Below are 25927 nucleotides of genomic sequence, written 5' to 3' on the forward strand. Positions count from 1 at the left end.
GAGAAGCCACTGGATCTTCACAACAACCCTCTGAGGTGACACCAGTGAGATTGCCCCCATTTTAGAGATGGGGAAACTGAGGCCCAGGCTGGTTAATAAGAAGCTACATGGAGTTAGCCTTGTTTCAGAGATGAGGAAATGCAAAAGGCTTGCCTGAGGTTACAGAGCTCAAGAGATCTGAGTGTTGAGGTCTGACTGTTGTGTTTTCATGGCCCTGGCGGAACCCCCCACCCCACCTGGGCATCACAGTTACTTGTGGCCACTTTCCACAACCACACCTCCCAATCTAGCCAAAAGGATGACATCCCAAGGAACGTGCAGCCTCCCAAGCTTCCAGGATGAGATTAGGGGCCTGACACTTGACCAGCCTCAGCCTCTGCCTCCTCTTGGCTTCCTGGGGACCCCGGCTTCAGCAACAGCAAGCTGGGCAATTTAGCTTCACTGTCCCCATCCGTCTTGCTCCCTCTGTCCTTGAAGATGGGTGGAAAGTCAGGGAGGGGCCGCTGCAATAAGTGACAAGGCTTGGCTGCCTGCAGATGAGGGTGGGAGGAAGCAGAGCCGAGTGGCTGGTGCAAGTGGGGCATCAGTGCCCAGGAGCCAGCTTCAGGGGAAGCAGGAGGCTCTCTGAGGTGACAAAGCTGGGGCCTGTCTGCCCCACCCACTGCAATCCAGCATGCTGGCTGGGTGACCCAGGCCTGGATAGAAATGGAGAGGGCAGCTCCATGCCAGGTGCAGCTGGATCTTGGGAACAAGGGATCAGCTCAGAAGATATAGTTTGACTCAGGCTTCTTGGCCCCGAATCTGCCCAGCATTTCTCCCACCCCCATGCCTGCTCCTACTCTTCTGTGTGTCCTGTGCTGGCCGCAGGTGCCCACTTCCCTGTCCAAGGGGCCGTGAAGCACTCCCCATGGCCACTCACAGCCCTGTGCTGTGGCCTTCCCTCCACTCAGGGCCATGCACAAGGCCTGCTCCCACCCAGGCTGACAGGTGCCTGCTCCTCAGATGAACGATGGGTGCCAGGCTTCTCAGGGTCACTCGCTCCCTGGACTGGTTTGCTCTGACTTCCATTTTCCTCTGTGGTTGAATTGGCCATCACCCGCTGGGGACAGCCAAATCCGTCAAGCCCCACGGCACTTGCTTTTATTGGTTCTCCTAGCTTTATTGCCTTTCCTGGAGCAGTGAGGGGCAGTGAGCCACTGCACAATCACTCAACTTGACATGGCTTTGTAGATTTCATCCCCCCACCCCCACCCATGTCTCTATCTGCAGGAGAGAGTGACAAGATGACAGACATGCAGTAACTCCTAGCATGAGCAGAACTGATGCCCTTGAGACAGGCGGAGCCCCCTGGCAGCCCAGGAGACTGAGGACTGGTCCAGGGTACCAGTGTCTCCACCTGTAATCCCCTTGTGGCCCCAGGCCTTGGACATTGTTGGCATCTTCATCCTTTCTATTGCCCCTTGCTGACGTCCACCAACCTGCTCTCCCCAGGCACCCAGCAAACACGAGCCCACTTACCCAGTGGACACGAGCCCACTGAGTAGGCAAGGGTCTTGGACAAAGCTGGGTGCAAGTCTTGACCCTACCAGCTACTAGCTGCACATGACCTTGGGCAAGGTGCTTGACCTCTTTGAGTTTTCATTTCCCCTGCTTCCAAATGGGAGCAATGCCTCCTAGAACTGGTGCGAGGACAAGATGAGCTGACGCCTGTGATGTTCACTCAGTGTTTTGCACAGAGTGAAGCCTTGATAAGTAGCGGGAGCACTGCGAGTTTTTCTTCTTATTGACTGGCTGATTGATTGTTGACTCTGGCCCCGAGGCCTCCACAGGAAGGAAAAGAGAGCTTGGCCCTGAACTTCGCAACCCCTGAGTATTCCATAGGGTTGCTGCAGCAGAAGATGTGTTTCCTGGGTGGGAACTGTATTAGTCAGGGTTCTCCATGTAACAGAACTAATAGGATGTGTATATATATGGAGAGAGAGAGAGAGAGGAGCATGATTGTGGGGCTCCAAATTCTACAGAGTAGGTCAACGGGCTGGAGACCAGGAAAGAAATGATGTTGTAGGTCGAGTCTGAAAGCCATCTGCTGGTGGAATTGCTTCTTTCTTGGGGACCTCAGTCTTTTTTGCATAAGACCTTCAATGATTGATTGAGGCCCACTGACATTATGGAGGGTCATCTGCTTACCCAAAGTCTAGTGATTTAAATATATTTTTTAAATTTTTTTAAATTTTACTTTAAGTGTTGGGATACATGTGCAGAATGTGCAGGTTTGTTACACAGGTATACATATGCCGTGGTGGTTTGCTGCGACTATCAACCCGTCATCTACTTTTTTTTTTTTTATACTTTAAGTTTTAGGGTACATGTGCACAATGTGCAGGTTTGTTACATATGTATACATGTGCCATGTTGGTGTGCTGCACCCATTAACTCTTCATTTAACATTAGGTATATCTCCTAATGCTATCCCTCCCCCCTCCCCCAACCCCACAACAGGCCCCGGTGTGTGATGTTCCCCTTCCTGTGTCCATGTGTTCTCATTGTTCAATTCCCACCTATGAGTGAGAACATGTGGTGTTTGGTTTTTTATCCTTGTGATAGTTTGCTGAGAATAATGGTTTCCAGCTTCATCCGTGTTCCTACAAAGGACACGAACTCATCATTTTTTATGGCTGCATAGTATTCCATGGTGTATATGTGCCACATTTTCTTAATCCAGTCTATCATTTTTGGACATTTGGGTTGGTTCCAAGTCTTTCCTATTGTGAATAGTGCCACAATAAACATATGTGTGCATGTGTCTTTATAGCAGTATGTTTTATAATCCTTTGGGTATATACCCAGTAATGGGATGGTTGGGTCAAATGGTATTTCTAGTTCTAGATCCCTGAGGAATCGCCACACTGACTTCTACAATGGTTGAACTAGTTTACAGTCCCACCAACAGTGTAAAAGTGTTCCTATTTCTCCACATCCTCTCCAGCACCTGTTGTTTCCTGACTTTTTAATGATCGCCATTCTAACTGGTGTGAGATGGTATCTCATTGTGGTTTTGATTTGCTTCCTTCTCTGATGGCCAGTGATGATGAGCATTTTTTTCATGTGTCTTTTGGCTGCATAAATGTCTTCTTTTGAGAAGTGTCTGTTCATGTCCTTTGCCCACTTTTTGATGGGGTTGTTTGTTTTTTTCTTGTAAATTTGTTTCAGTTCATTGTAGATTCTGGATATTAGCCCTTTGTCAGATGAGTAGATTGCAAAAATTTTCTCCCATTCTGTAGGTTGCCTGTTCACTCTGATGGTAGTTTCTTTCGCTGTGCAGAAGCTCTTTAGTTTAATGAGATCCCATTTGTCAATTTTGGCTTTTGTTGCCATTGCTTTTGGTGTTTTAGACATGAAGTCCTTGCCCATGCCTATGTCCTGAATGGTATTGCCTAGGTTTTCTTCTAGGGCTTTTATGGTTTTTGGTCTAACATTTAAATCTTTAATCCATCCTGAATTAATTTTTGTGTAAGGTGTAAGGAGGGGATCCAGTTTCAGCTTTCTACATATGGCTAGCCAGTTTTCCCAGCACCATTTATTAAATAGGGAATCCTTTCCCCATTTCTTGTTTTTGTCAGGTTTGTCAAAGGTCAGATAGGTGTAGACATGCAGCATTATTTCTGAGGGCTCTGTTCTGTTCCATTGGTCGACATCTCTGTTTTGGTACCAGTACCATGCTGTTTTGGTTACTGTAGCCTTGTAGTATAGTTTAAAGTCAGGTAGCGTGATGCCTCCAGCTATGTTCTTTTGGCTTAGGATTGATTTGGCGATGCGGGCTCTTTTCTTGTTCCATATGAACTTCAAAGTAGTGTTTTCCAATTCTGTGAAGAAAGTCATTGGTAGCTTGATGGGGATGGCATTGAATCTATAAATTACCTTGGGGAGTATGGCCATTTTCATGATATTGATTCTTCCTACCCATGAGCATGGAATGTTCTTCCATTTGTTTGTACCCTCTTTTATTTCATTGAGCAGTGGTTTGTAGTTCTCCTTGAAAAGGTCCTTCATGTCCCTTGTAAGTTGGATTCCTAGGTATTTTATTCTCTTTGAAGCAGTTGTGAATAGGAGTTCATTCATGATTTAGCTCTCTGTTTGTCTGTTATTGGTGTATAAGAATGCTTGTGATTTTTGCACATTGATTTTGTATCCTGAGACTTTGCTGAAGTTGCCTATCAGCTTAAGGAGATTTTGGGCTGAGACAATGGGGTTTTCTAGATATACAATCATGTCATCTGCAAACAGGGACGATTTGACTTCCTCTTTTCCTAATTGAATACCCTTTATTTCCTTCTCCTGCCTGATTGCCCTGGCCAGAACTTCCAACGCTGTGTTGAATAGGAGTGGTGAGAGAGTGCATCCCTGTCTTGTGCCAGTTCTCAAAGGGAATGCTTCCAGTTTTTGCCCATTCAGTATGTTATTGGCTGTGGGTTTGTCATAGATAGCTCTTATGATTTTGAGATACGTCCCATCAATACCTAATTTATTGAGAGTTTTCAGCATGAAGGGTTGTTGAATTTTGTCAAAGGCCTTTTCTGCATCTATTGAGATAATCATGTGGTTTTTGTCGTTGGTTCTGTTTATGTGCTGGATTATGTTTGTTGATTTGCGTATGTTGAACCAGCCTTGCATCCCAGGGATGAAGCCCAGTTGATCATGGTGGATAAGCTTTTGATGTGCTGCTGGATTCAGTTTGCCAGTATTTTATTGAGGATTTTTGCATCGAGGTTCATCAGGGACATTGGTCTAAAATTCTCTTTTTTTGTTGTGTCTCTGCCAGGCTTTGGTATCAGGATAACGCTGGCCTCATAAAATGAGTTAGGGAGGATTCCCTCTTTTTCTTTTTCTTTTTTTTTTTTTAATTGATCATTCTTGGGTGTTTCTCGCAGAGGGGGATTTGGCAGGGTCACAGGACAATAGTGGAGGGAAGGTCAGCAGATAAGTGAACAAAGGTCTCTGGTTTTCCTAGGCAGAGGACCCTGCGGCCTTCCAAAGTGTTTGTGTCCCTGGGTACTTGAGATTAGGGAGTGGTGATGACTCTTAACAAGCATGCTGCCTTCAAGCATCTGTTTAACAAAGCACATCTTGCACCACCCTTAATCCATTCAACCCTGAGTGGACACAGCACATGTTTCAGAGAGCACAGGGTTGGGGGTAAGGTCACAGATCAACAGGATCCCAAGGCAGAAGAATTTTTCTTAATACAGAACAAAATGAAAAGTCTCCCATGTCTACCTCTTTCTACACAGACATGGCAACCATTAGATTTCTCAGTCTTTTCCCCACCTTTCCCCCCTTTCTATTCCACAAAACCACCATTGTCATCATGGCCCGTTCTCAATGAGCTGTTGAGTACACCTCCCAGATGGGGTGGTGGCTGGGCAGAGGGGCTCCTCACTTCCCGGTAGGGGCGGCCGGGCAGAGGTGCCCCTCACCTCCCGGAAGGGGCGGCTGGCCGGGCCGGGGGCTGACCCCCCCACCTCCCTCCCGGACGGGGCGGCTGGCCGGGCAGGGGGCTGACCCCCACCTCCCTCCCGGACGGGGTGGCTGCTGGGCGGAGACGCTCCTCACTTCCCAGACGGGGTGGCTGCCGGGCGGAGGGGCTCCTCACTTCTCAGACGGGGCGGTTGCCAGGCAGAGGGTCTCCTCACTTCTCAGACGGTGCGGCCGGGCAGAGACGCTCCTCACATCCCAGACGGGGCGGCAGGGCAGAGGCGCTCCCCACATCTCAGACGATGGGCGGCCTGGCAGAGACGCTCCTCACTTCCTAGATGGGATGGCGGCCGGGCAGAGACGCTCCTCACTTTCCAGACTGGGCAGCCAGGCAGAGAGGCTCCTCACATCCCAGACGATGGGCGGCCAGGCAGAGATGCTCCTCACTTCCCAGACAGGGTGGCGGCCGGGCAGAGGCTGCAATCTCGGCACTTTGGGAGGCCAAGGCAGGCAGCTGGGAGGTGGAGGTTGTAGCGAGCCGAGATCACGCCACTGCACTCCAGCCTGGGCACCATTGAGCACTGAGTGAACGCGACTCCGTCTGCAATCCCGGCACCTCGGGAGGCCGAGGCTGGCGGATCCCTCGCGGTTAGGAGCTGGAGACCAGCCTGGCCAACACAGCGAAACCCCGTCTCCACCAAAAAAATACGAAAACCAGTCAGGCATGGCGGCGCGCGCCTGCAATCGCAGGCACTCGGCAGGCTGAGGCAGGAGAATCAGGCAGGGAGGTTGCAGTGAGCTGAGATGGCAGCAGTACAGTCCAGCTTTGGCTCGGCATCAGGAGGAGACCGTGGAAAGAGAGGGAGAGGGAGACCGTGGGGAGAGGGAGACTGTGGGGAGAGGGAGACCGTGGGGAGAGGGAGAGGGAGAGGGAGAGGGAGAGGAGGGAGAGGAGGGAGAGGGAGAGGAGGGAGAGGGAGAGGAGGAGCCTTTCCAATTTTCTTTCCTTCCTTCCTTCCTTCCTTCCTTCCTTCCTTCCTTCCTTCCTTCCTTCCTTCCTTCCTTCCTCCCTCCCTCCCTCCCTCCTCCCTTCCCTTCCCCTCCCCTCGATTCCCTCTTTTTCTATTGATTGGAGTAGTTTCAGAAGGAATGGTACCAGCTCCTCCTTGTACCTCTGGTAGAATTCGGCTGTGAATCCATCTGGTCCTGGACTTTTTTTGGTTGGTAAGCTATTAATTATTGCCTCAATTTCAGAGCCTGTTATTGGTCTATTCAGAGATTCAACTTCTTCCTGGTTTAGTCTTGGGAGAGTGTATGTGTCGAGGAATTTATCCATTTCTTCTAGATTTTCTACTTTATTTGCATAGAGGTCTTTACAGTATTCTCTGATGGTAGTTTGTATTTCTGTGGGATTGGTGGTGATATCCCCTTTATCATTTTTTATTGCGTCTATTTGATTCTTCTCTCTTTTCTTCTGTATTAGTCTTGCTAGCGGTCTATCAATTTTGTTGATCTTTTCAAAAAACCAGCTCCTGGATTTATTGATTTTTTGAAGGGTTTTTTGTGTCTCTATTTCCTTCAGTTCTGCTCTGATCTTAATTATTTCTTGCCTTCTGCTAGCTTTTGAATGTGTTTGCTCTTGCTTTTCTAGTTCTTTTAATTGTGATGTTAGGGTGTCAATTTTAGATCTTTCCTGCTTTCTCTTGTGGGCATTTAGTGCTATAAATTTCCCTCTACACACTGCTTTGAATATGTCCCAGAGATTCTGGTATGTTGTGTCTTTGTTCTCATTGGTTTCAAAGAGCATCTTTATTTCTGCCTTCTTTCATTATGTACCCAGTAGTCATTCAGGAGCAGGTTGTTCAGTTTCCATGTAGTTGAGTGGTTTTGAGTGAGTTTCTGAATCCTGAGTTCTAGTTTGATTGCACTGTGGTCTGAGTTCTAGTTTGATTGCACTGTGGTCTGAGAGACAGCTTGTTATAATTTCTGTTCTTTTACATTTGCTGAGGAGTGCTTTACTTCCAACTATGTGGTCAATTTTGGAATAGGTGTGGTGTGGTGCTGAAAAGAATGTATATTCTGTTGATTTGGGGTGGAGAGTTCTGTAGATGTCTATTAGGTCTGTTTGGTGCAGAGCTGAGTTCAGTTCCTGGATATCCTTGTTAACTTTCTGTCTCATTGATCTTTCTAATGTTGACAGTGGGGTGTTAAAGTCTCCCATTATTATTGTGTGGGAGTCTAAGTCTCTTTGTAGATCTCTAAGGACTTGCTTTATGAATCTGGGTGCTCCTGTATTGGGTGCATATTATTTAGGATAGTTAGCTCTTCTTGTTGAATTGATCCCTTTACCATTATGTAATGGTCTTCTTTGTCTCTTTTGATCTTTGTTGGTTTAAAGTCTGTTTTATCAGAGACTAGGATTGCAACCCCTGCCTTTTTTTGTTTTCCATTTGCTTGGTAGATCTTCCTCCATCCCTTTCTTTTGAGCCTATGTGTGTCTCTGCACGTGAGATGGGTTTCCTGAATACAGCACACTGATGGGTCTTGACTCTTTATCCAATTTGCCAGTCTGTGTCTTTTAATTGGACCATTTAGCCCATTTACACTTAAGGTTAATATTATTATGTGTGAATTTGATCCTGTCATTATGATGTTAGCTGGTCATTTTGCTTGTTAGTTGATGCAGTTTCTTCCTAGCCTCGATGGTCTTTACAATTTGGCATGTTTTTGCAGTGGCTGGTACCAGTTGTTCCTTTCCATGTTTAGTGCTTCCTTCAGGAGCTCTTTTAGGGCAGGCCTGGTGGTAACAAAATCTCTCAGCGTTTGCTTGTCTGTAAAGTATTTTATTTCTCCTTCACTTATGAAGCTTAGTTTGGCTGGATATGAAATTCTGGGTTGAAAATTCTTTTCTTCAAGAATGTTGAATATTGGCCCCCACTCTCTTCTGGCTTGTAGAGTTTCTGCTGAGAGATCCACTGTTACTCTGATGGGCTTCCCTTTGTGGGTAACCCGACCTTTCTCTCTGGCTGCCCTTAACATTTTTTCCTTCATTTCAAGTTTGATGAATCTGACAATTATGTGTGTTGGAGTTGCTCTTCTCAAGGAGTATCTTTGTGGCGTTCTCTGTATTTCCTGAATTTGAATATTGGCCTGCCTTGCTAGATTGGGGAAGTTCTCCTGGATAATATCCTGCAGTGTTTTCCAACTTGGTTCCATTCTCCCCATCACTTTCAGGTACACAAATCAGACGTAGAGTTGGTCTTTTCACATAGTCCCATGTTTCTTGGAGGCTTGTTTGTTTCTTTTTATTCTTTTTTCTCTAAACTTCTTTTCTCGCTTCATTTCATTCATTTGATCTTCCATCACTGATACCCTTTCTTCCAGTTGATCGAATCAGCTACTGAGGCTTGTGCATTCATCACATAGTTCTGAGGCCGTGGTTTTCAGCTCCATCAGGTCCTTTAAGGCTTTCTCTGTATTGGTTATTCTAGCTAGCCATTCATCTAATTTTTTTTCAAGGTTTTTAACTTCTTTGCCATGGGTTCGAACTTCCTCCTTTAGCTCAGAGTAGTTTGATCGTCTGAAGACTTCTTCTCTCAACTCGTCAAAGTCATTGTCTGTCCAGCTTTGTTCCGTTGCTGGTGAGGAGCTGGTTTCCTTTGGAGGAGGAGAGGTGCTCTGATTTTTAGAGTTTCCAGTTTTTCTGCTCTGTTTTTTACCCATCTTTGTGGTTTTATCTACCTTTGGTCTTTGATCATGGTGACGTACAGATGGGGTTTTGGTGTGGATGTCGTTTCTGTTTGTTAGTTTTCCTTCTAACAGTCAGGACCCTCAGCTGCAGGTCTGTTGGAGTTTGCTGGAGGTCCACTCCAGACCCTGTTTGCCTGGATATCAGCAGTGGAGGCCACAGAACAGCGGATATTGGTGAACAGCAAATGTTGCTGCCTGATCATTCCTCTGGAAGTTTTGTCTCAGAGGAGTACCCGGCCGGCTGTGTGAGGTGTCAGTCTACCCCTACTAGGGGGTGCCTCCCAGTTAGGCTACTCGGGGGTCAGGGACCCACTTGAGGACGCAGTCTGTCCATTCTCCGATCTCCAGCTGCATGATGGGGGAACCACTACTCTCTTCAAAGCTGTCAGACAGGGACATTTAAGTCTGCAGAGGTTATTGCTTTCTTTTGTTTGGCTATGCCCTGCCCCCAGAGGTGGAGTCTACAGAGGCAGGCAGGCCTCCTTGAGCTGCAGTAGGCTCCACTGAGTTCGAGCTTCCCAGCCGCTTTATTTACCTACTCAAGCCTCGGCAATGGCAGGCGCCCCTCCCCAAGCCTCGCTGCTGCCTTGCAGTTTGATCTCAGACTGCTGTGCTAGCAATGAGCGAGGCTCTGTGGGCGTAGGACCCTCTGAGCCATGTGTGGGATATAATCTCCTGGTGTGCCGTTTGCTAAGACTGTTGGAAAAGTGCAGTATTAGGGTGGGAGTGACCTGATTTTCCAGGTGCCATCTGTCACCCCTTTCTTTGACTAGGAAAGGGAATTCCCTGACCCTTTGTGCTTCCCAGGTGAGGTGATGCCTCGCCCTGCTTCAGCTCATGCTTGGTGTGCTGCGCCCACTGTCCTGCACCCACTTTCCGACACTCCCTAGTGAGATGAACCCGGTACCTCAGTTGGAAATGCAGAAATCACCTGTCTTCTGCGTCGCTCATGCGGGGAGCTGTAGACTGGAGCTGTTCCTATTTGGTCATCTTGGCTCCACCCCCCAATTTAAATATTAATCTCATCTAAAAAGGACCATCACTGTGACCGCCAGAAGGGCTGGGTTCTGTGGCCTAGTCAAGCTGACACATCACAGAGAGGGACAACAAAGTGCTCTCAGGTGACACTGTCCTCCCTTGGATCTGTGGCTCCATCCCTGCCCTCCTGCCCTCGGGGGAGCTTGTAGAAGGCTTCATCTCAGAGCCCACTGCCCCTGAGTCATGTGATCCAATCAAGGCCCCTGAGCAGAGAATAAAGAGGTCACTCTGGCAAGTCTGGGAGGAGACTGACCAGTGTAGTCGGTGGAGGCATTGGTCAAGCCCCCAGCCCTGGTCCTGAAGCAAAATCCTCCCCAGGTCCAGACTCTCAGCACCTTCTTCCCAGGCAGGGGCTGACAGATGCCTCTGTGGGTGCTTAGGAAACAGCCAGAGGATGCCAGCGGTCCAAGGAGTGGCTGGGGCAGGGCCTGAGACCCAGCAGCTGCCGGCCATGATGCAGGCTGGGAAGTGGTTCATTTAAGATGGCACTTGTTGGGCAGCAATGTGTGACACTCCCTCTAGAGGCTCAGATCAATTCTCGTGCTTTTATCTTTTCTTGAGGCTCAGCATGATGAAAAGTGGCCTATATCTACAGCTGATAAATAACCAGAAACTTGCTGTATCTGTTTTCATTTTATTTTCTTGAACAATTACCGCCAGCATGCCTTACATTCAGAGGCTGAGATTTTAAGTGGCCAAAAGAACTTCCCAACTGAGCCTGCCAGGGACTCGTTTGAAATGTTCTTTGCTGCATCGAAAAGCACCAGACATGATCTGTGAAAGAGCTGGGAGGAAAATGTTGCATGTTCACAGCACAAGCGTGTCCTCCTCTCCAGGGGATGGGAACATGGAGGATGGTTCCCACCTCCAACCTCAAACCCTAGGAGAGGCCTGTCCCACTGATGAGAGAGGACAGCGCCAGCCCAGGAGCCATCCAAAGGATCATCAGGGTGAGGAGGGGTTTGGAGCCCCTGGGATGGCTGGGGAGGAAATGGGGAGTGTGGAGCTGCAGGATCCTTAGATGCTGTCTACATTCCTCTAGTTGAGCACTCAAGTCATTGTGTGACCCTAGTCACATGTCTGCCTCAGCACCAGGAGAGTTAGCTCCTTGAAGCCAGGAACTGCTTCTTTTAATACTCAGAGTGGTATCAGCATTTAACAACAGGTGCTCAATACATGTTAAATAGAAGGGAGGACGGATGCATGGATGGTTGGATGGGTGGATGGATGGAGGAGTAGGTGGGTAGATGGAAGGATGGATGGATGGATGGATGGATGGATGGATGGATGGTTAGATGGGTGGTTGGATGGAATGATGAGTGGATGGATGGATGGGTAGGTGGATGGATGGAAGATAGGTGGATGGGCAGCTGGATGGATGGGTGAATGGGTGGGTAGCTGGATGGATGGATGGATGGATGGGTGTGTGGATGGTTGGATGGAATGGTAGGTGGGTGGATGGATGGATGGGTCAATGGATAGATGGAAGATAGGTGGATGGGTAGATGGATGGATGGGTGAATAGGTGGACTGGTGGATGGATGGATGGATGGATGGATGTGTAGATGGAATGATAGGTGGGTGGATGGATGGATGGGTGGATGGATGGATGGATGGATAGATGGATAGATAGTCAATAGATGAGTAAGTGGAGGGGTTGATGGATGGAAGATGAGTGGATGGGTAGTGCATATATGGAGGGGTGGGAGAATGAGTGGATAGATGTGTGGATAGGTGGATTCTTTGGAGGATGATAGATAAATATTTGGATGGATAGGTGGGTGGGTAGGCAGATGGGTGAATGGATAGGTGAGTAGGTGGGTTGACAGATGGACTGTTGAGTGAATGAATGTGTGAATGGAAAAGTGGCATGAATCTTTCCTCAAATCTTTGAAAGACTGTCACATCTTAAAGAGTGGAGTCGTATCTTCTGTGGATCCAGAAAACAAAATCATAGTAGATTCTATAGAGAAGCAGATTTGGACTCAGGCTAAGAAAGAACTTTCTACTGACCCCAGTTGGCTTTTGTTGGAGTAGACTGTGTGGAAAGGGAGCAAGTCATGGTCCCTGGAAGTGTCAGGAAAAGGAAGCTGTCAGGTGTAGTAGAAGGTGTCCTTGTGCTAGTTGCAGGGAGACCCCAGAGGTCTTTCCATCTCTGGCCTCCATAGTTCCTCCTGAGCCCCTGTCCTCAACTGGGTCAAGGAGCCAATTTTTCTGGCCCCTGCAGGAGACCCATGCTCTGCTAGTGCAGCTGCTGACCCATGGCAGGGGTGCACTCTCCTGGCTTCAGACCTTGGCTCTCCTGCCCGCTCCTCTGACTGAGCTCTCAGATGCTGCCCAGGTGACCTGAGGAAGCTGATCTGCAGAGAGGACAGGAAGCATGTGACAGTCAAGCAGGCCCAGACCTGACCAAGGTCATGCAGGTGGTAGATGGGAGAGGCAAGGAGGTGCTGCCAGGAAGCCCCTACAGAGACAAATTGGACAGAGCCAGGGCAGAGCCTCCCAGGCCTAGTTCCTGGGGAATGCTCAGGGCCAGGGAACCCTCCTCTGGAGCAGGCACATGTCCTTAGCACTCACCTTCCCTACTAAGAGCCAGGGCCTGAAAGGAGACAAAAAAGGCCTGAGAAAGAAGCTGGGGCCCAGGACTGCATAACACCAGTGCCTGTTTCACTGTCCCCAGCCCAGGGAAAGGGATTGGGGCTCCATGAGAGGCTGATGGCAGGGAAGGAGCCATGCAGGAGCCCCATTTGGCTTGTGTCTGTCCCCTTGGCATCTCTTTCTCCTTAGAAAATCTGATTGCTTGTAGCTTCCACACTGGCCATCAGTTTGATCTGAGCTCAAGGGTGCAGCAGAGGCTCACCTTGTTCTGCTTAAATAATGCAGGTAGTGAAGTTATTGACAATCTGTCATCTGCTTGAAAGTGGCTTCGACAGAGCCAGAAGCGTGGGAGGGCCCCAGGGGCCTCAGCCGGCCACAGGTCCAGTCTCTGGCTGAACAGGGGCTCTTCAAGAAGGGCCAGGCCCTTGGCATGGTCCAAGATGAATGGATGGGAGCTTGAGCCCTACCTGGCCTTTTCTAGAAGGACATTCTATGGGGAAATTCTAAGCAGAAGTGAGGGCAGGAGCTGTCTGGCTAGGAGGCCTGCGTTGTGGATTGGAAAGGAGTCTCCTGATGCAGGCTGGGCCCCCCGCAGGGGTGGGGGCAGTGCTGAGTCACTTCCTGCCAGAGGACAGGGTCTGAACTCCCAGGACATTCTGGCCCCTTCCCACTACCGGCCTAGCCCTGCCGCCTGTGCCTTGCCTCCTGGCCTCCTAGCCACAGACAGGGGTTTATGATGAGCCGGCTTGCTCATCCTTGAGCCTGGGTTGGATTTTTTTTTAATGTTTAAAAATTCCCCACAGCATGGCAGGTGCCCGGCTGCTGGGTCACCCCATCGGCTGTTCTGTCATCAGACATCATGTTTACCCATCAGACGCTGTTTTCCTGACACTCAACACTCAAAATAATGATCTCGCTGGAGCACCTTCATGAATGATTCATGAGGCTCTGCTCAACTTTGGGTGTTAACAGCAAATCAAAGCCCCTCAGTGAGGGCAGCAGAGCAGCAGCCAGAAGGCAAGCCCTGGCCCCAGCCTCCAGGCCCCCAGGGATGCTCAGGGCCTGCCACCCCTCTCTCAGGCTCCAGTCCAGCCCTGCAGGAGTGAGCCAGCCTCAGCCAGGCCATGGCACAAAAGGGGAGGGGAGCAGGGTCCTGGCTGTCACCCATGTCCTGGTGACCTTGCTGAGGACATTGGAGCTCCAGCCTCAAGTCAGATCCCCTGGACCCCAGATCTCTTCCACCCACAGGTGGTGTGACCTTGAGCAGGTCACTTTGCTTCTCTGAGCCTCTCTTTCCTGTCTGCAAAGCCAGGTGGGAACTGCCCTCCCGCAGGGCACCTGTGAACACGTGTGAGTGCCAGGAACTGAGGTTCCTGGCATCCGGGTAGAGTCCAAACATGGAAGCTCGGATTATTATGTACTGCTCTTACTTCACCTCTCCTGGTCTTCATTCTCTTATTTGTGAAATGAGAGGGTAAACTGTGGGGTCTCCAAGTCTCTTTACCTGAAATACAGCACCTGCCGGGTCTGTCCACACTGTGTGTGCACTCACAGGAGGGAGCTGTGCAGCCTGCAAAGGGGGAGCTGCTTCTCAGGGACGTTTCTCTGCCAGATTCTGCAACGGAGAAGCATGGAGGGCACAGCCCAGCCAGGGGTTGTGCAAAAACACACACACACACGTGCTCACATGTGCTCACATGGCAGTGGCAGCAGCCAAACATGACCTCATAAATACATACACAGCCTGTTCAGCACATAGAGACATTAAAGGCAAGGCTCAGCGAGAAGAGCTGGGATATCTGGGTCCTGTTCTGTCCCTGTGTCCCCAAACCGGTGGCTCCCTGAGGGAAAGGCCAAGTCTGCTCCATCACCAGGACCTGCCTGGCTCCTGCACATTGTGCTTGGCACTGAACTTGCACTTAATAAACATGGGTCAAATGAAGGGAATTCCTAGTGTTGAGCACTAGGAATGCAATCCCAAACAAGACCAGCCACAGTCAATCAGCCCCGTGACCCTCCCCCCAGCCTCAGTTTCTCCTCTGTGGCCTAGCAGGTTAAATCCCTAATGCCACAAATGTTCTAGCCTGGTTCTGCCATTCAAAAGTGACTGGGGGCAGACTCCGTGGCCCCTCCTATAGGCCTGTCAGCAACAGTTGCAGGGGGGTGCCCATCCATAACCCTGACCCCAGGGAAGGGAGGGAGTGGAGCCACAAGACCAGAAGTGGCCTCTGCCCCTCCCTAGAAACAAGATGCAGCCCCAGCTGGGAAGGCCTATGGCTTTTTCTTTCTTCCCTAAATGGCCTGGGAGCCCCTAAGGCAAGGATGGGTCCTTGCCCTGATGGTGCAGCCAGGCCCAGCAGCAGCACAGAGTGGAGGTCAAATAGCGCCTCAGAGCACCAGATGAACCTCAAGAAAGCAGCATGAGGGGCAAAGGCCAGGGCTTCCCAGTCCTGGTAACTACGGGAGGCCAGGTCCCAGGCCCCCAGGCAGAGGGGAAGCTAAGTGGCCAAGACGCAGGCCCAGGCCTGAGACCCCTAGCTCTGCCCTTTGCAACCTGTGCAGTCCTGGACAAATCACCTTGCCTCTCGAAGTGTCCATTTTCTCCTCTGTAAAGCAGGCAGAGTGAAAGTACCCACCTCCGGGACTGTGGAGAGGAAGGCGCGGGGCCATGCAGAAGAGAGCTGGGCCATGGTGCGGGCCTAGTCCATGCTCTCGGTGCAGAGTTGGGGATAAGAGACCAGGGCCCACAGCCTGGGGGGCTGCTGAGTCTGTGTTTATTTATCACGTTGATATTTTGTTCATTGTGGATTTTTTTCACAACAGTTCCAACTTTTTAGAATATTGCACTAAACATTATCTCCGTTACTGAGTTTTCTGGCACCCCCTTAAATTTTGTGGCCAAGACAAGTGCCTCCCTTGCCTTCCCTGCACAGCCTAGGCCTCTGGCCAAAGGGCTTGGACCAAAGTATCTGAGTCCAGGAGGAGGCCAGGTTAGAGGAGCAGGATGCTGGGAACAGGTTTGAGCGAGGACCAGGAAGGAGAGGATTCCCTCTAGCCCGAGGGCCTGAGCCTGACCCGGGTGGGTGTGAGAGAGCAGGAGCCAAGTGGTGCCTGATGTTGGAACATGCCACCTGGGCTGCTGGGGGGCCAAGCTTGCCAACAAGAGTCTGACAAGAGCTGTGTGCAGCAGGAGGCTCTCTCCAGCCTTACTATCAGACCCTTACTGTACCTCCCAGGCTCAGCCGGCCTTTCCCACCTGCACTCGCTGCCAGGGTAAGGTGGGGGCAGCTGCTGCTTCAGGCTGCCCCTCACTCCCACCTCTGCCCAGGGGCCAGTGCTGGGGGACCGCCTGGAGCTTCTCTGTGCCTTGCCAAGCCCCCTGTCTTGACCTGAGAGGTGCTGACCTGACCCACTGAAATGGGAGAGTTCCCTGACCCCGTCAAGAGACTTGCAACGGGGTATGGCTCATTTTCTTGGCAGCTGCCATGCGCCCACTGGGAGGGGGTGCACAGAGATGGGCAGGGGCAGGAGCCTGGGCAAGTGCTTTTGGGCTCTGGCCCCATGGTAGCATCTAGAGGTGTGTTACAATTAATGCTGTTTTGGCAGTTGCCATCCACGGACAGCTAAGTGTTAAACCAGCTCAGTGGAGAGTCAGGATGACAGCCTTTTACACCCTGCCCTCTTGGTACCCAGCTTCTTGTCCGGTATCCCAGAAGAATCAGGTCACACGGACTTGAAGGATGGTGAATGTGGGGATTTGATTGAGTGGTGGAGGTGGCTCTCAGCAGGATGGATGGGGAGCTGGACAAGGGATGGAGTGGGAAGATGATTTTCCCCTGGAGTTTGGTCATCCTGAAGCTGATCTCCTCTCCAACTATCCCCAGCCAAACTCCTCTCGACGTTTAGACACTCCTTCTCTTTTCTCTTTCTCTGCCGTGCCACTGTGCCACTCTTCTGCCCCTCTGCTCATCTGTCTGTGGATCCTGGAGCTTGGGGTTTATATGAGTACAGGATAGGAGGGCACGGTGGGCTAAAAGGCAACATTTGGGCGCAGAAACAGGATTGCCTGTTCCCATTTAGGGCTGCAGGTTTCCAGGCTTGAGGGCGGGGCCTTTGCTGGGGAACTGCCCTCTTCTACCCAGTATTTCCTTGCCTCCTGTCCGTATCACCACTCCGAGCTCACTGGGCCGGAAGGGCAGGGGTCACAGTGTGCATGGAGTGATGGCTGCCAGGCACAGCCATTCTGACATTTCAGGAGACTGTGGACCACTCAGAGACAGGGCTCTAAGCAAGGCCAGCACACAGATGGCTGAGGCCATCCCACTGGGGCTCTTGGGGCCAAAACCACCCTTTGCAGGTTAAGAGGGCATTTCAAAGAAAAAGGTTTGGGTGAGAGGAAGGCGGTGGGAGTGATTCTGCAGAAACAGATTCTGGGCCTCAATTCCCTCCTCTTGGAGGGCCTGCTCCCCAGGAGTCCCCATCACCCTGTGGGTTGGTCCTCGCCACCAGAAGGGCCTGTGTTCTTCATGAACCTTTCCATGTGCACCAGTCTTAACCGGGAGTGTGTTTCCCAAAGACAGGTAGCTCACCTTAGCAGTTTTATATCCGTACCCCAGGCATCAGCAGGTGCCCACCAAACCCATGACCCAAGGATTGCAGGGACCAGGAGAGAAGAGCAGGAAGAAATTGTGTCTAATCCATGGGAACCCCGGGATGGGATGTAGATGAGTGTTTGGCCACACAGTTGGCAAGTCGCCTTGGAACTGGAACATAGAGCAAAGCCAGAGTCCTCACTGACCCCCTCCCGACACCTGCCTTTCATCTGCTTACGTTTTCAAGCCCAGCTGTGTGCCCAGCACTGTGCTGAGTGAGATGGACAGACAAGTAGGGAGGAGGGTCCTGAGTGGTGGGCATGGACTGGTGCAGAGCACACAGGAGAGGCCCAGCCTGGCCTGGGTGGTCCCCCAGGCCGTAAAGCCAGAGCTGGGTTTTGGACAATCCCTGGAGCTGAGCCAGGCTGCAGGGAAAAGATGCACGGAGGCGCAGAGGCAGCAACCAGCCCCCTCCAGGACCTGCGGGAGTGTTTATGGCATGGTCCTTGCCCACAAGGAGGTGGTGACAAATTGGGGACAAGTTAAATAGAACAAGATTTAAGTCCCATTGCCAAGCAGGGAATGGGAGCCGGGGCACAGGAAAGCTCGTGATGAAGTGCCAGATGAATCACACACTGCATGGCTCTCAGCCTGAGGAGAGCGATGGCGGGGGCGGGGCAGGCCGGACCCGGAGGAGTAGGGGGAGCAGGCGGGACCTGGAGGGGTGGGTGGGAGCAGAGCGATGGGTATTGGGGCAAGCTGGACCCAGAGGAGTCGGGGGAGCAAGTAGGACCTGGAGGGGCAGATGGGAGGAGAGCGATGGTGGAGAGGGGCAGGCCGGACCTAGAGTGTCAGGTGGGAGGAGAGAGATGGTGGGGGGGCAGGTCAGACCTGGAGGGGTGAGGAGAGGAGAGCAATGGGTGGGGAGGGCAGGCCTGACCCAGAGGGGTGGGTGGGAGGAGAGCACTGAGGGGAGCGATGGGTGGTTGGGGAGGTGGAACCCAGAGGTAGGGGTGGGAGGAGAGGGATGGTGGTGGGGGCAGGCCTGACCCAGAGGGGTGAGTAGGAGGAGAGGAGATTTTGGCAGGAGAAATGAGGATGTCAGCAAAGGCCCGAGGCCTGAAGGCTCAGGCTGAGTCCAGGTCAGGTTTGGCTGCAATGGATGAGTTGGGGTCAAAGGCGGCTGAGAGGGGGCTCCTCCCAGAGCCTGAGCTGGCCTATGTGTCCATCCCCTCCCTTGTTGGAGCTCTGGCGTGGAGCTTCCCATTCTAGCCTCAGCCACCTATTTATGTCCATCTCCTGCTCACACAAAACCAGATTCCAGAGACAAACAGGGAGACATAAAAAGGAGAAGAGATGAAGATTCATTGATGCCAGAACTGACTCTCTTCTGGAAAATTGAAATATTTTGTACGTAATGACAATCAAGTCACCGTGCGACCTTCCCGGAATAACTTCCCAGATATATGACAGTGACAACAACCGCCCCATTGGCGCTGACACGCTGAAGGCTCCCCAAAGCCACCACTTAAAAAATGCCTCCCGCGTTATTAACATTCCTCACTTGGGAATGTTTATGGCTCGTCACTGTTATCAACAGTAACAAATTTCGAGAACCTATAAATGACACCACCCCCAGAGACAGCCCGGGACAATCCACCATCAGCCTGCCTGGCCCAGGCTAGACTGTGAACATCAAATCAGGCTCATCTGATGGGCCCCCAGCCCCGCTGCTCCCACCTCCCGAGGCTCCTGTCCTCCTCACTCACCTTGACCCCTGAAAGCCCTGGCTCCATCTGCATCCACTTAACCTCCATCAGGGCCCTTGCCCATCAGATACTGCTGGGGGGAGGGTACAGGGGTCTCCTGTTCAGAACCAGGGCTTTGAGCCACAGCAGGTGTTACATTTCCCAACCGCTGCTTCTTCCTGCTGCAGAGCCCCACTCCACACACCTACAAAGAGACCCTTTTTCTCTTCCCTTCCTTCATTCATTCACTCATTCGTTCATGTGTGTATTCATCCATACGACGTGTTTGCTGAAGTGATTGGAATGTTGCACGAATGCCCTGGCCATGCATCAGTTGCAGTCTGGTGACTTCCATCTTAAAGGGCAAGGTCAGTGCCAGGCAGAGGGGCAGCCTTAGGACCTGCGATGTCAGAACCCACAGTGCTGTGGTCCCCATCCTAGCAGCAGCCTACAGGAGGCAAAGAACCTAGCCGCTGGCAAGAAGGGCAATGCAGGCCTCATACCCCACCAGTCCCTCCCTCCAACTGATGCTAAAAACTGTCCTTGGAGACAAACAGGAAGTATATATATGGCATAGTGACAGGCAGCTCGGGCTTTGGAGCAGGCTGCTTGAGTGTGGCTGCAGCTGTGACACTGATTAGCTCGAATCTTCTGAACATCAGTTTTCTTGGCCATAAAATGGGACTAAAAGCATTCCCGGAGCTGTTAAGAGGGTCAAATGAAATAGTGCATGTCAAGGGTACAGCACGCTTCTTGATGCAAAGCCAATGCTCAGCAGATGAAGACTGTTGCCACTTGTACAGATTCTCTCTTTTTGCTTTGGGCTTTAATTCTCCTACAAGGGTAGAAGTCCAGGTGAGGGGGTTTTGTGGCCACTTCGTTTGGAGGATGTGTGTTCCATGAGAGAAGAGACAAAGGTCACTTTGGGGCCATGGGGGAGGTACCAGGGAGGAGGCAGCCTGCAAGACGGATGGCTGGCATGGCCACCTCCTGGCTTTGGCCAGCTCTCCCTGGCTTGGCCACCATGGAGTGACCTTAAGCCAGTCACTCACCCTCCCCCAGCCTCAGTTTCTCCATTTGCTGAGAAGGCCTCCTCAGGCCTGCCATTCACATCCAGCACCTACAATAGCTCTTTGTGGAATGTTTTATACAGGATTTCTGTGAAAACCTAACAAGATAATGAATATGAGAGAGCTTTGAAAATACTCAGTGTTTTGTAAATGTAAGAGATTATTATTCCCATTTACCACCCTTTTAAAAGGATGTTTTTCCTCCATTCAGCCAAATTTAACTTGGATGATGAAGAACCCAGCCTGGGCTTCCCCAGCTATAATTTTCCTGTTCCTTGTGCCTCTGAATATTAAAACACAAAGGCTCACATTGCTGAGAGAAACCAAAACAGCAGCCTATTAGAGGTGCCATTGCACAAACGGAATTCAAAGTGATATTTCAAGCAGGGCGTTCTGTTTATGTAAACCTTGAGAGCACTTGATGAATGTCAGCAGAACTTTGAAATTAAAATCACTTCTTTTTTTCATACGCTGCTCACTCTGTTCTTGAGCCCACGTCTTGGGTAGTCGTGGAGGTTAAGAAACCACTCAGGGTTTACCTTATACTGTTAGAAATGCTAAGAGATGAGGCAGGGAGGCATCCTAAATGCCTCCGAACCGGTCAGCCCAGGACTGCAAGGCGAAGGCCAAGTCTCTTAAAGCAACAGCCTCCAGGAGCGCTGTCCAGAGTGCTGAAAAGGAAGCCGGGCCTCGGGGGTGACTGGGGGGCATTTGGAAGAGGGTCCTTCCCCAGGGACACATTCCTGCTGCTCCCTAGAATCCTGAGGGGGAATGGAGGGGGACCCTAGGGAGGCCAAGTCCCCTGTGTGAGCTGGAGGGAATGGAACACTAGCAGGCAGAGGGAGAAGCGTGACAGGGAGGAGAGACGGGGCCCCCCCACCAGAGTGACAACTGCAGTGGAAATGAAGAGGAGGGGTGAGCGCAGAAGCTGGAGGAACTGGCAAATAAAGTAATAAAACAGAGAGATATACCCTATGACAGCAGGGAGATAAATGGAGCAAGTTATACCAAGGGCTCATTTTTGTGCAAATATTTGGGGCTCTATAAAATAAGGCTGTTTATTATAAATCTGTCTCCCAAGTAAGTCTTGCCAGTGCACAGGTGTCACCCGCAGGGAAGTTTTCCCTCTAAGGCACAGAGGGTTGAGCTCGTGGGGTAAAGTGTGGCTGCAACTGCTCTTTCTGTTCTATAAATAGCCCTTCCCGCGGGGGAAATGAGACTGCTGGGAGCCAAGAGAAGGAGCCAGGTTCGGCCACGGGATGCCTGGTGGCCTTGACCTTCACTTCCAGCCAAGCGGCTGCTGTGGCTGTGCAGTGTCCCAGAATCAAGATGACTGACACACATGGTCGTGGCTGAGGAGTCTCTCAGTCCTGTCTTTAAATATCAGGAGGGCTCTGCTGCCACATTCTCTCTCCAGCTCAGCGGGGGAAGAGATGACAGAGCACAAAAGTGTAGCAGCAGAGAACCAGCTGAGACCGGAGGAGGACTTCAGGGTTCATCCACTCCTTCGAAAACTTTGAAAGTATAGACAACCCTCTGCCTGAAATGGCTCGAGGCAATTCTTCCTGGAACCAAGGGAAGGATTGGAAGACTTCAGGAGCTTGGGGAAATTCCCAGGAGAATTTGAGTCCTCTACCCTCAGGCTCTAGGGCCAGCATATCAGCAAAGCAAATAAGGCCTCAAAGCTGATGAGGTCCTCAATCTCAGAGCAGCCCCTTTCCCTGCTAAGCAGACACTTAGACACCCAGGAAAGGACACAGCAGGGGTGCCAGATGTCTCAATGGTAGGGTCACCTGAAGGACTTTGGTCATGCACACCCACCCCCCCACCCCCATGCATACACATAAGGTCTAAGGTACTATTTCCAGAGGACCAGGATTCCTGTTCCTCAGAGGAATTTGCTCTTGGGTCCCCGATCTTCTTGATTGTGAAATAGTCCAGTGAATGGAGAATCGGGGTCCCCAACTTCCAAGAGCCCATTTCCTCAGCTCTAAGGTGGGGCTGATCACAATAAGGTTCTTAGGAGAATTCAACACAGGAAGCTACTCAAAGCCTGCAGCCCAAGGCCTGGCACAGATCGACATTAGTTCTTAGCATGCTCTGGACAAGAAGTCACCCCTGTACCATGCACACAGTGGGAGCTCCTGAATTACCCAGATGGACTTGAGTCTGCTTCTAAGATGTGGTGCTCCCACAGCAGCCTGGGCAGGTTCCTTGGGGGCCATCATCATACCTTCATCCCATGTTGTCATTTTGGCTGGCCTTGATCACATCACACTGGCACATCATCTGTCTTCTTCACCTCGACCCTGAGGACACTGACTCTCTCTTCTTCCATCTCCATATCTCTAGTGCCTGTAACTCAAGAAGGTGTTAGCTGAGTGGTCAGTGGAGAGATGGCATCTCAGCCTATATCACCTCCCAAGCCAGACCAGATTCCACCCTGTGCCAAGCCTCAGCAGCTCCCCACCCAGGAGAACCACTTTCTAGGATCGGGAGGCCCTCTTTTCCCAATTCTATGCCCACTCCTCTTTATCCTGCTTTGTGTGCGGCTCCAGGCTCTCAACTCTGCACCTTTGGAAAAGACGTCAGCTTTCTCCCTGGCTTGGGGCCTCTGCCCCAAAGACTGACTCTGTACTGTTTATCGTCTCCCTCGTTTTCAAGGCTTTGGCTGGAAATTTGGCTCCTTGGGCCGGTTCCGATGATATTTTACAGTGCCTTCTTAATTTACTGTCTTTTTATGACTATAGTAAAAGGCCACACATCAGGGAAGGCTATCAAACAGGAAGAAACATCCCCTCTCCTTGTCAGCTCAAGTTGAGCATTGTAATTTACATGAAAACCTTGTGGCTTAGGGTGTTTACCTCCCATGGAACCAGTTTCTTCTCCCATTATGAGAATGAGATAATTAAAAACTTCCCTGTTCCTTTGATATTGAATTAGGTTAACTCAGCCCAATTGCAAATGCCAGTTTGAAGGCTGTTATGTCATTTGGATTTCAATGTAGAGCCATCCTTTTTTTTTTAATCCAGAAATGCTTTATTCTTGTCTCTTATCCTGATCCCAAATTAGACATAGGGAAGGGAAATAAGGGATTTATTCACATTTGACCAAAAAATTTGCATCTCAAACAGAAATTTTAAGGAGGCCAGGGCCAGGGAGGCAGCTGAGGCTGTGTGGCTTCCCCCTAGTCAACAGGCTTCACAGTTCACCCAATGTGAGAGAGGGAAAGCATGAAGAGGAAAGTATGAGACCCAGTCCATAGGAGGAAAACCACAGTCCAACTTCTCTCCACCTGCCATCTACCATCACCACGGAGCCATGCCATGGCAAGCTATTCCTGCCCCTAGGGAGACAAACCCCAACTCAAATTGGCCTAAGCAATGCAGAATGTATTCTATCACCTACGCGGAAAGCCAGAGAGAGTGCGAACTGCAGGGTCAGCCTATTCAGGGGTTCAGCCATGTCACCAGCCAACTCTGCCATCTTGAGTGCTGGCTTCGTGTGCCTCCTGGGAGCCAGGTGACTGCAGTCCAGGTTCACATGACACATAGCAGGTGTCACAAGGAAGAAGAGTGGGATGTTCTGCAGCTCCTACCAGTGAAAAACCCTCTCCTGGAAACCTTCACACTTCTCTTACCTCATGAGCCAGAATTGGGTCACATACCCATTCCTAAATATTCCCTTATGAGGAAGATGGGAGAATAATTGGCCAATGAGATTCACTCGCCACTGCCCCCTGCCAAACACACACAATGACAAAATTGAGGAGAAATTGATTTTTTTTTTTTTTTGAGATGGAGTCTCACTCTGTCACCAAGGCTGGAGTGCAGTGGCATGATCTCAGCTCACTGCAACCTCCGCCTCCTGGGTTCAAGCGATTCTCGTGCCCCAGCCTCCTGAGTAGCTGGGATTATAGGCAAGTGCAACCACACCCAACTAATTTTTGTATTTTTAGTAGAGACGGAGTTTCACCATGATGGCCAGGCTGGTCTTGAACTCCTGGGCTCAAGTGATCCGCCTGCCTCGGGAGAAATGAATTTTGATGGGGAATAAATGCTGTGCAGACAATGTATGTGATGCTGTCATTAAATGTTGCACACATTCAAAGCAATGTATATGTACACAAGCAAAAGTAACAAGAAAATGGGCCCTCCCAGAATAGACCAGAACTAGACCCAGGCCTTTGAAGTTCCCTCTAAGGACAGGCTCACTCTTCTCCATCCTTGCTGGAGTCTTGAAAGTTGAACATCGTGGTACCAGGAGAGTGAGTGGAACGTGGGGCCACTGTGGAGCCCAGTGATTCTCAAACAGGGGTGATTTTACTCCCCAAGGACATTTGGCAATGTCTGAAGACAATTTTTTGTCATCACCCTTCGAGTAATTTAGTCGTGGAGGCCAGATGTGCTGCTGAGCATCCTCTATTGCACGGCACAGCCCCACAACAAAGAGTTATACAGCCCCAAGTGTCTACAGTTGTGAGGCTGAGAAACCTCATGGAAGCCTGGCTTTCATCCAGGATACTCCCATGATGCTTTGCCCCCTGGGAAAGGGAGAGAGGAGGTGGCTTACCAATGAGATGTGACTGGAAGCTGGAGAACACAGAACTGGTCTTCACCCCTCCTTCCCTTCTCTCACAGAACTTTCCTTTACCTCTGGCAAAACAAAGAAAAAGAGAGAGAGAGAATATATTCTATGCTGCCTTGTTCTGCACGAGTATCTTACTGGGAGGCTGTCAGCATTTGGAGAGCAGGGCCCAGTTCCACCATGTCTGTATCCGCCCAGCACTCACAGAGCAGGTACCTCATAAATGTGGGTTAGAAGGAGGGAGGAGAGATGGAGTTGGAGGAGAGGTCTGGGACTGAGTAGAGAAGCTATGATTTAGAGGCAGGCAAGTCCCCTGAGGCAAATTTTGGCCGGGGCTGAGATCAGCTGGTTCTTAGCTGGGGAACAAAGACCATTCAAGAGTGGGTCAGCCAGATTCAAAGGTTTAGCTCGAGAAATTGAACCTGACAGTTCAGACCAAGCCAGAAGGTCCTTTGACAAGAGAAGCAGGGAGGAGGTGTTGGAGGAGGCAGCCCTGAGGACAGGTGCAGGATGCATGGGGCCAGAGCAGGTGGAAGCAGGAGAGAGAAAGAGAGTGCGAGGGAAAGGCCGTAGGGTCAGGGGAGTAATCCATCAATGTTCCGTCCAATGCTGGGAAGAGCAGGGCCCAACAGTGGAGAAAAGGCCAGGACCTTGAGAGGCATTGCACCCTGATTAGGGGCTGGTGAACTGGAGGGAGCAGGCAGGGGTCCAGCCAGGAAAAGAGGTCCTCTCATAGGGGCAACTAGAGGGAGGCTGCCACAGAAGAGGGGCCACTGGCCCAAGAGAGCCAAGGGCTCTGGGAGGACCCCCCATGGTGGGTGCTGGAGAGCCCCTGAGCCCTTTTATTTCACAGTGACAGGCCACAGCCAGAATACGTTGTCACCGTCACCTGGCTATGTCAGCAGAATTTTCAACAGGGGCTGTGGTCTGGGATGCCAGGAATTTCCCCTTGGCTCCTGAGACATTTGCTAAGCCAGGCGCCAACTGGAGACAGTGACGGGAGAGTCTGAGCATCGTGCCTCGGTGCTGACCTCTGATATTCAAATTCCTGGAAGCCCTGGTGCACCTTGTC

General features: G+C 50.8%; 1 protein-coding gene across 24 annotated transcripts in view, besides 8 other annotated features; it reads left to right on the forward strand.

The window, feature by feature from the left end:
• The window catches only part of CAMTA1 (calmodulin binding transcription activator 1), a 984253-nt gene that overhangs the window by 810152 nt on the left and 148174 nt on the right, over nucleotides 1–25927 (forward strand). The gene's annotated exons all lie outside the window — the stretch shown is intronic.
• Nucleotides 39–539: an enhancer, noted in NCBI's record as "H3K4me1 hESC enhancer chr1:7655704-7656204 (GRCh37/hg19 assembly coordinates)". NCBI's record gives its function as "activates a minimal SCP1, AML or CMV promoter by ChIP-STARR-seq in primed H9 embryonic stem cells {active_cell/tissue: H9 hESC(primed)}" and the evidence as "EXISTENCE:reporter gene assay evidence [ECO:0000049][PMID:30033119]".
• Nucleotides 12837–13373: an enhancer, noted in NCBI's record as "H3K27ac-H3K4me1 hESC enhancer chr1:7668502-7669038 (GRCh37/hg19 assembly coordinates)". NCBI's record gives its function as "activates a minimal SCP1, AML or CMV promoter by ChIP-STARR-seq in primed H9 embryonic stem cells {active_cell/tissue: H9 hESC(primed)}" and the evidence as "EXISTENCE:reporter gene assay evidence [ECO:0000049][PMID:30033119]".
• Nucleotides 13374–13911: an enhancer, noted in NCBI's record as "H3K27ac-H3K4me1 hESC enhancer chr1:7669039-7669576 (GRCh37/hg19 assembly coordinates)". NCBI's record gives its function as "activates a minimal SCP1, AML or CMV promoter by ChIP-STARR-seq in primed H9 embryonic stem cells {active_cell/tissue: H9 hESC(primed)}" and the evidence as "EXISTENCE:reporter gene assay evidence [ECO:0000049][PMID:30033119]".
• Nucleotides 13912–14448: an enhancer, noted in NCBI's record as "H3K27ac-H3K4me1 hESC enhancer chr1:7669577-7670113 (GRCh37/hg19 assembly coordinates)". NCBI's record gives its function as "activates a minimal SCP1, AML or CMV promoter by ChIP-STARR-seq in naive H9 embryonic stem cells {active_cell/tissue: H9 hESC(naive)}" and the evidence as "EXISTENCE:reporter gene assay evidence [ECO:0000049][PMID:30033119]".
• Nucleotides 14449–14986: an enhancer, noted in NCBI's record as "H3K27ac-H3K4me1 hESC enhancer chr1:7670114-7670651 (GRCh37/hg19 assembly coordinates)". NCBI's record gives its function as "activates a minimal SCP1, AML or CMV promoter by ChIP-STARR-seq in naive H9 embryonic stem cells {active_cell/tissue: H9 hESC(naive)}" and the evidence as "EXISTENCE:reporter gene assay evidence [ECO:0000049][PMID:30033119]".
• Nucleotides 17310–17841: an enhancer, noted in NCBI's record as "H3K4me1 hESC enhancer chr1:7672975-7673506 (GRCh37/hg19 assembly coordinates)". NCBI's record gives its function as "activates a minimal SCP1, AML or CMV promoter by ChIP-STARR-seq in primed H9 embryonic stem cells {active_cell/tissue: H9 hESC(primed)}" and the evidence as "EXISTENCE:reporter gene assay evidence [ECO:0000049][PMID:30033119]".
• Nucleotides 17842–18372: an enhancer, noted in NCBI's record as "H3K4me1 hESC enhancer chr1:7673507-7674037 (GRCh37/hg19 assembly coordinates)". NCBI's record gives its function as "activates a minimal SCP1, AML or CMV promoter by ChIP-STARR-seq in primed H9 embryonic stem cells {active_cell/tissue: H9 hESC(primed)}" and the evidence as "EXISTENCE:reporter gene assay evidence [ECO:0000049][PMID:30033119]".
• Nucleotides 20650–20850: a silencer, noted in NCBI's record as "peak37 fragment used in MPRA reporter construct". NCBI's record gives its function as "represses an SCP1 promoter by STARR-seq MPRAs in K562 erythroleukemia cells {active_cell/tissue: K562}" and the evidence as "EXISTENCE:reporter gene assay evidence [ECO:0000049][PMID:32103011]".

Source organism: Homo sapiens, chromosome 1 (genome assembly GCF_000001405.40).
Source record: "Homo sapiens chromosome 1, GRCh38.p14 Primary Assembly".
NCBI lineage: Eukaryota > Metazoa > Chordata > Mammalia > Primates > Hominidae > Homo > Homo sapiens.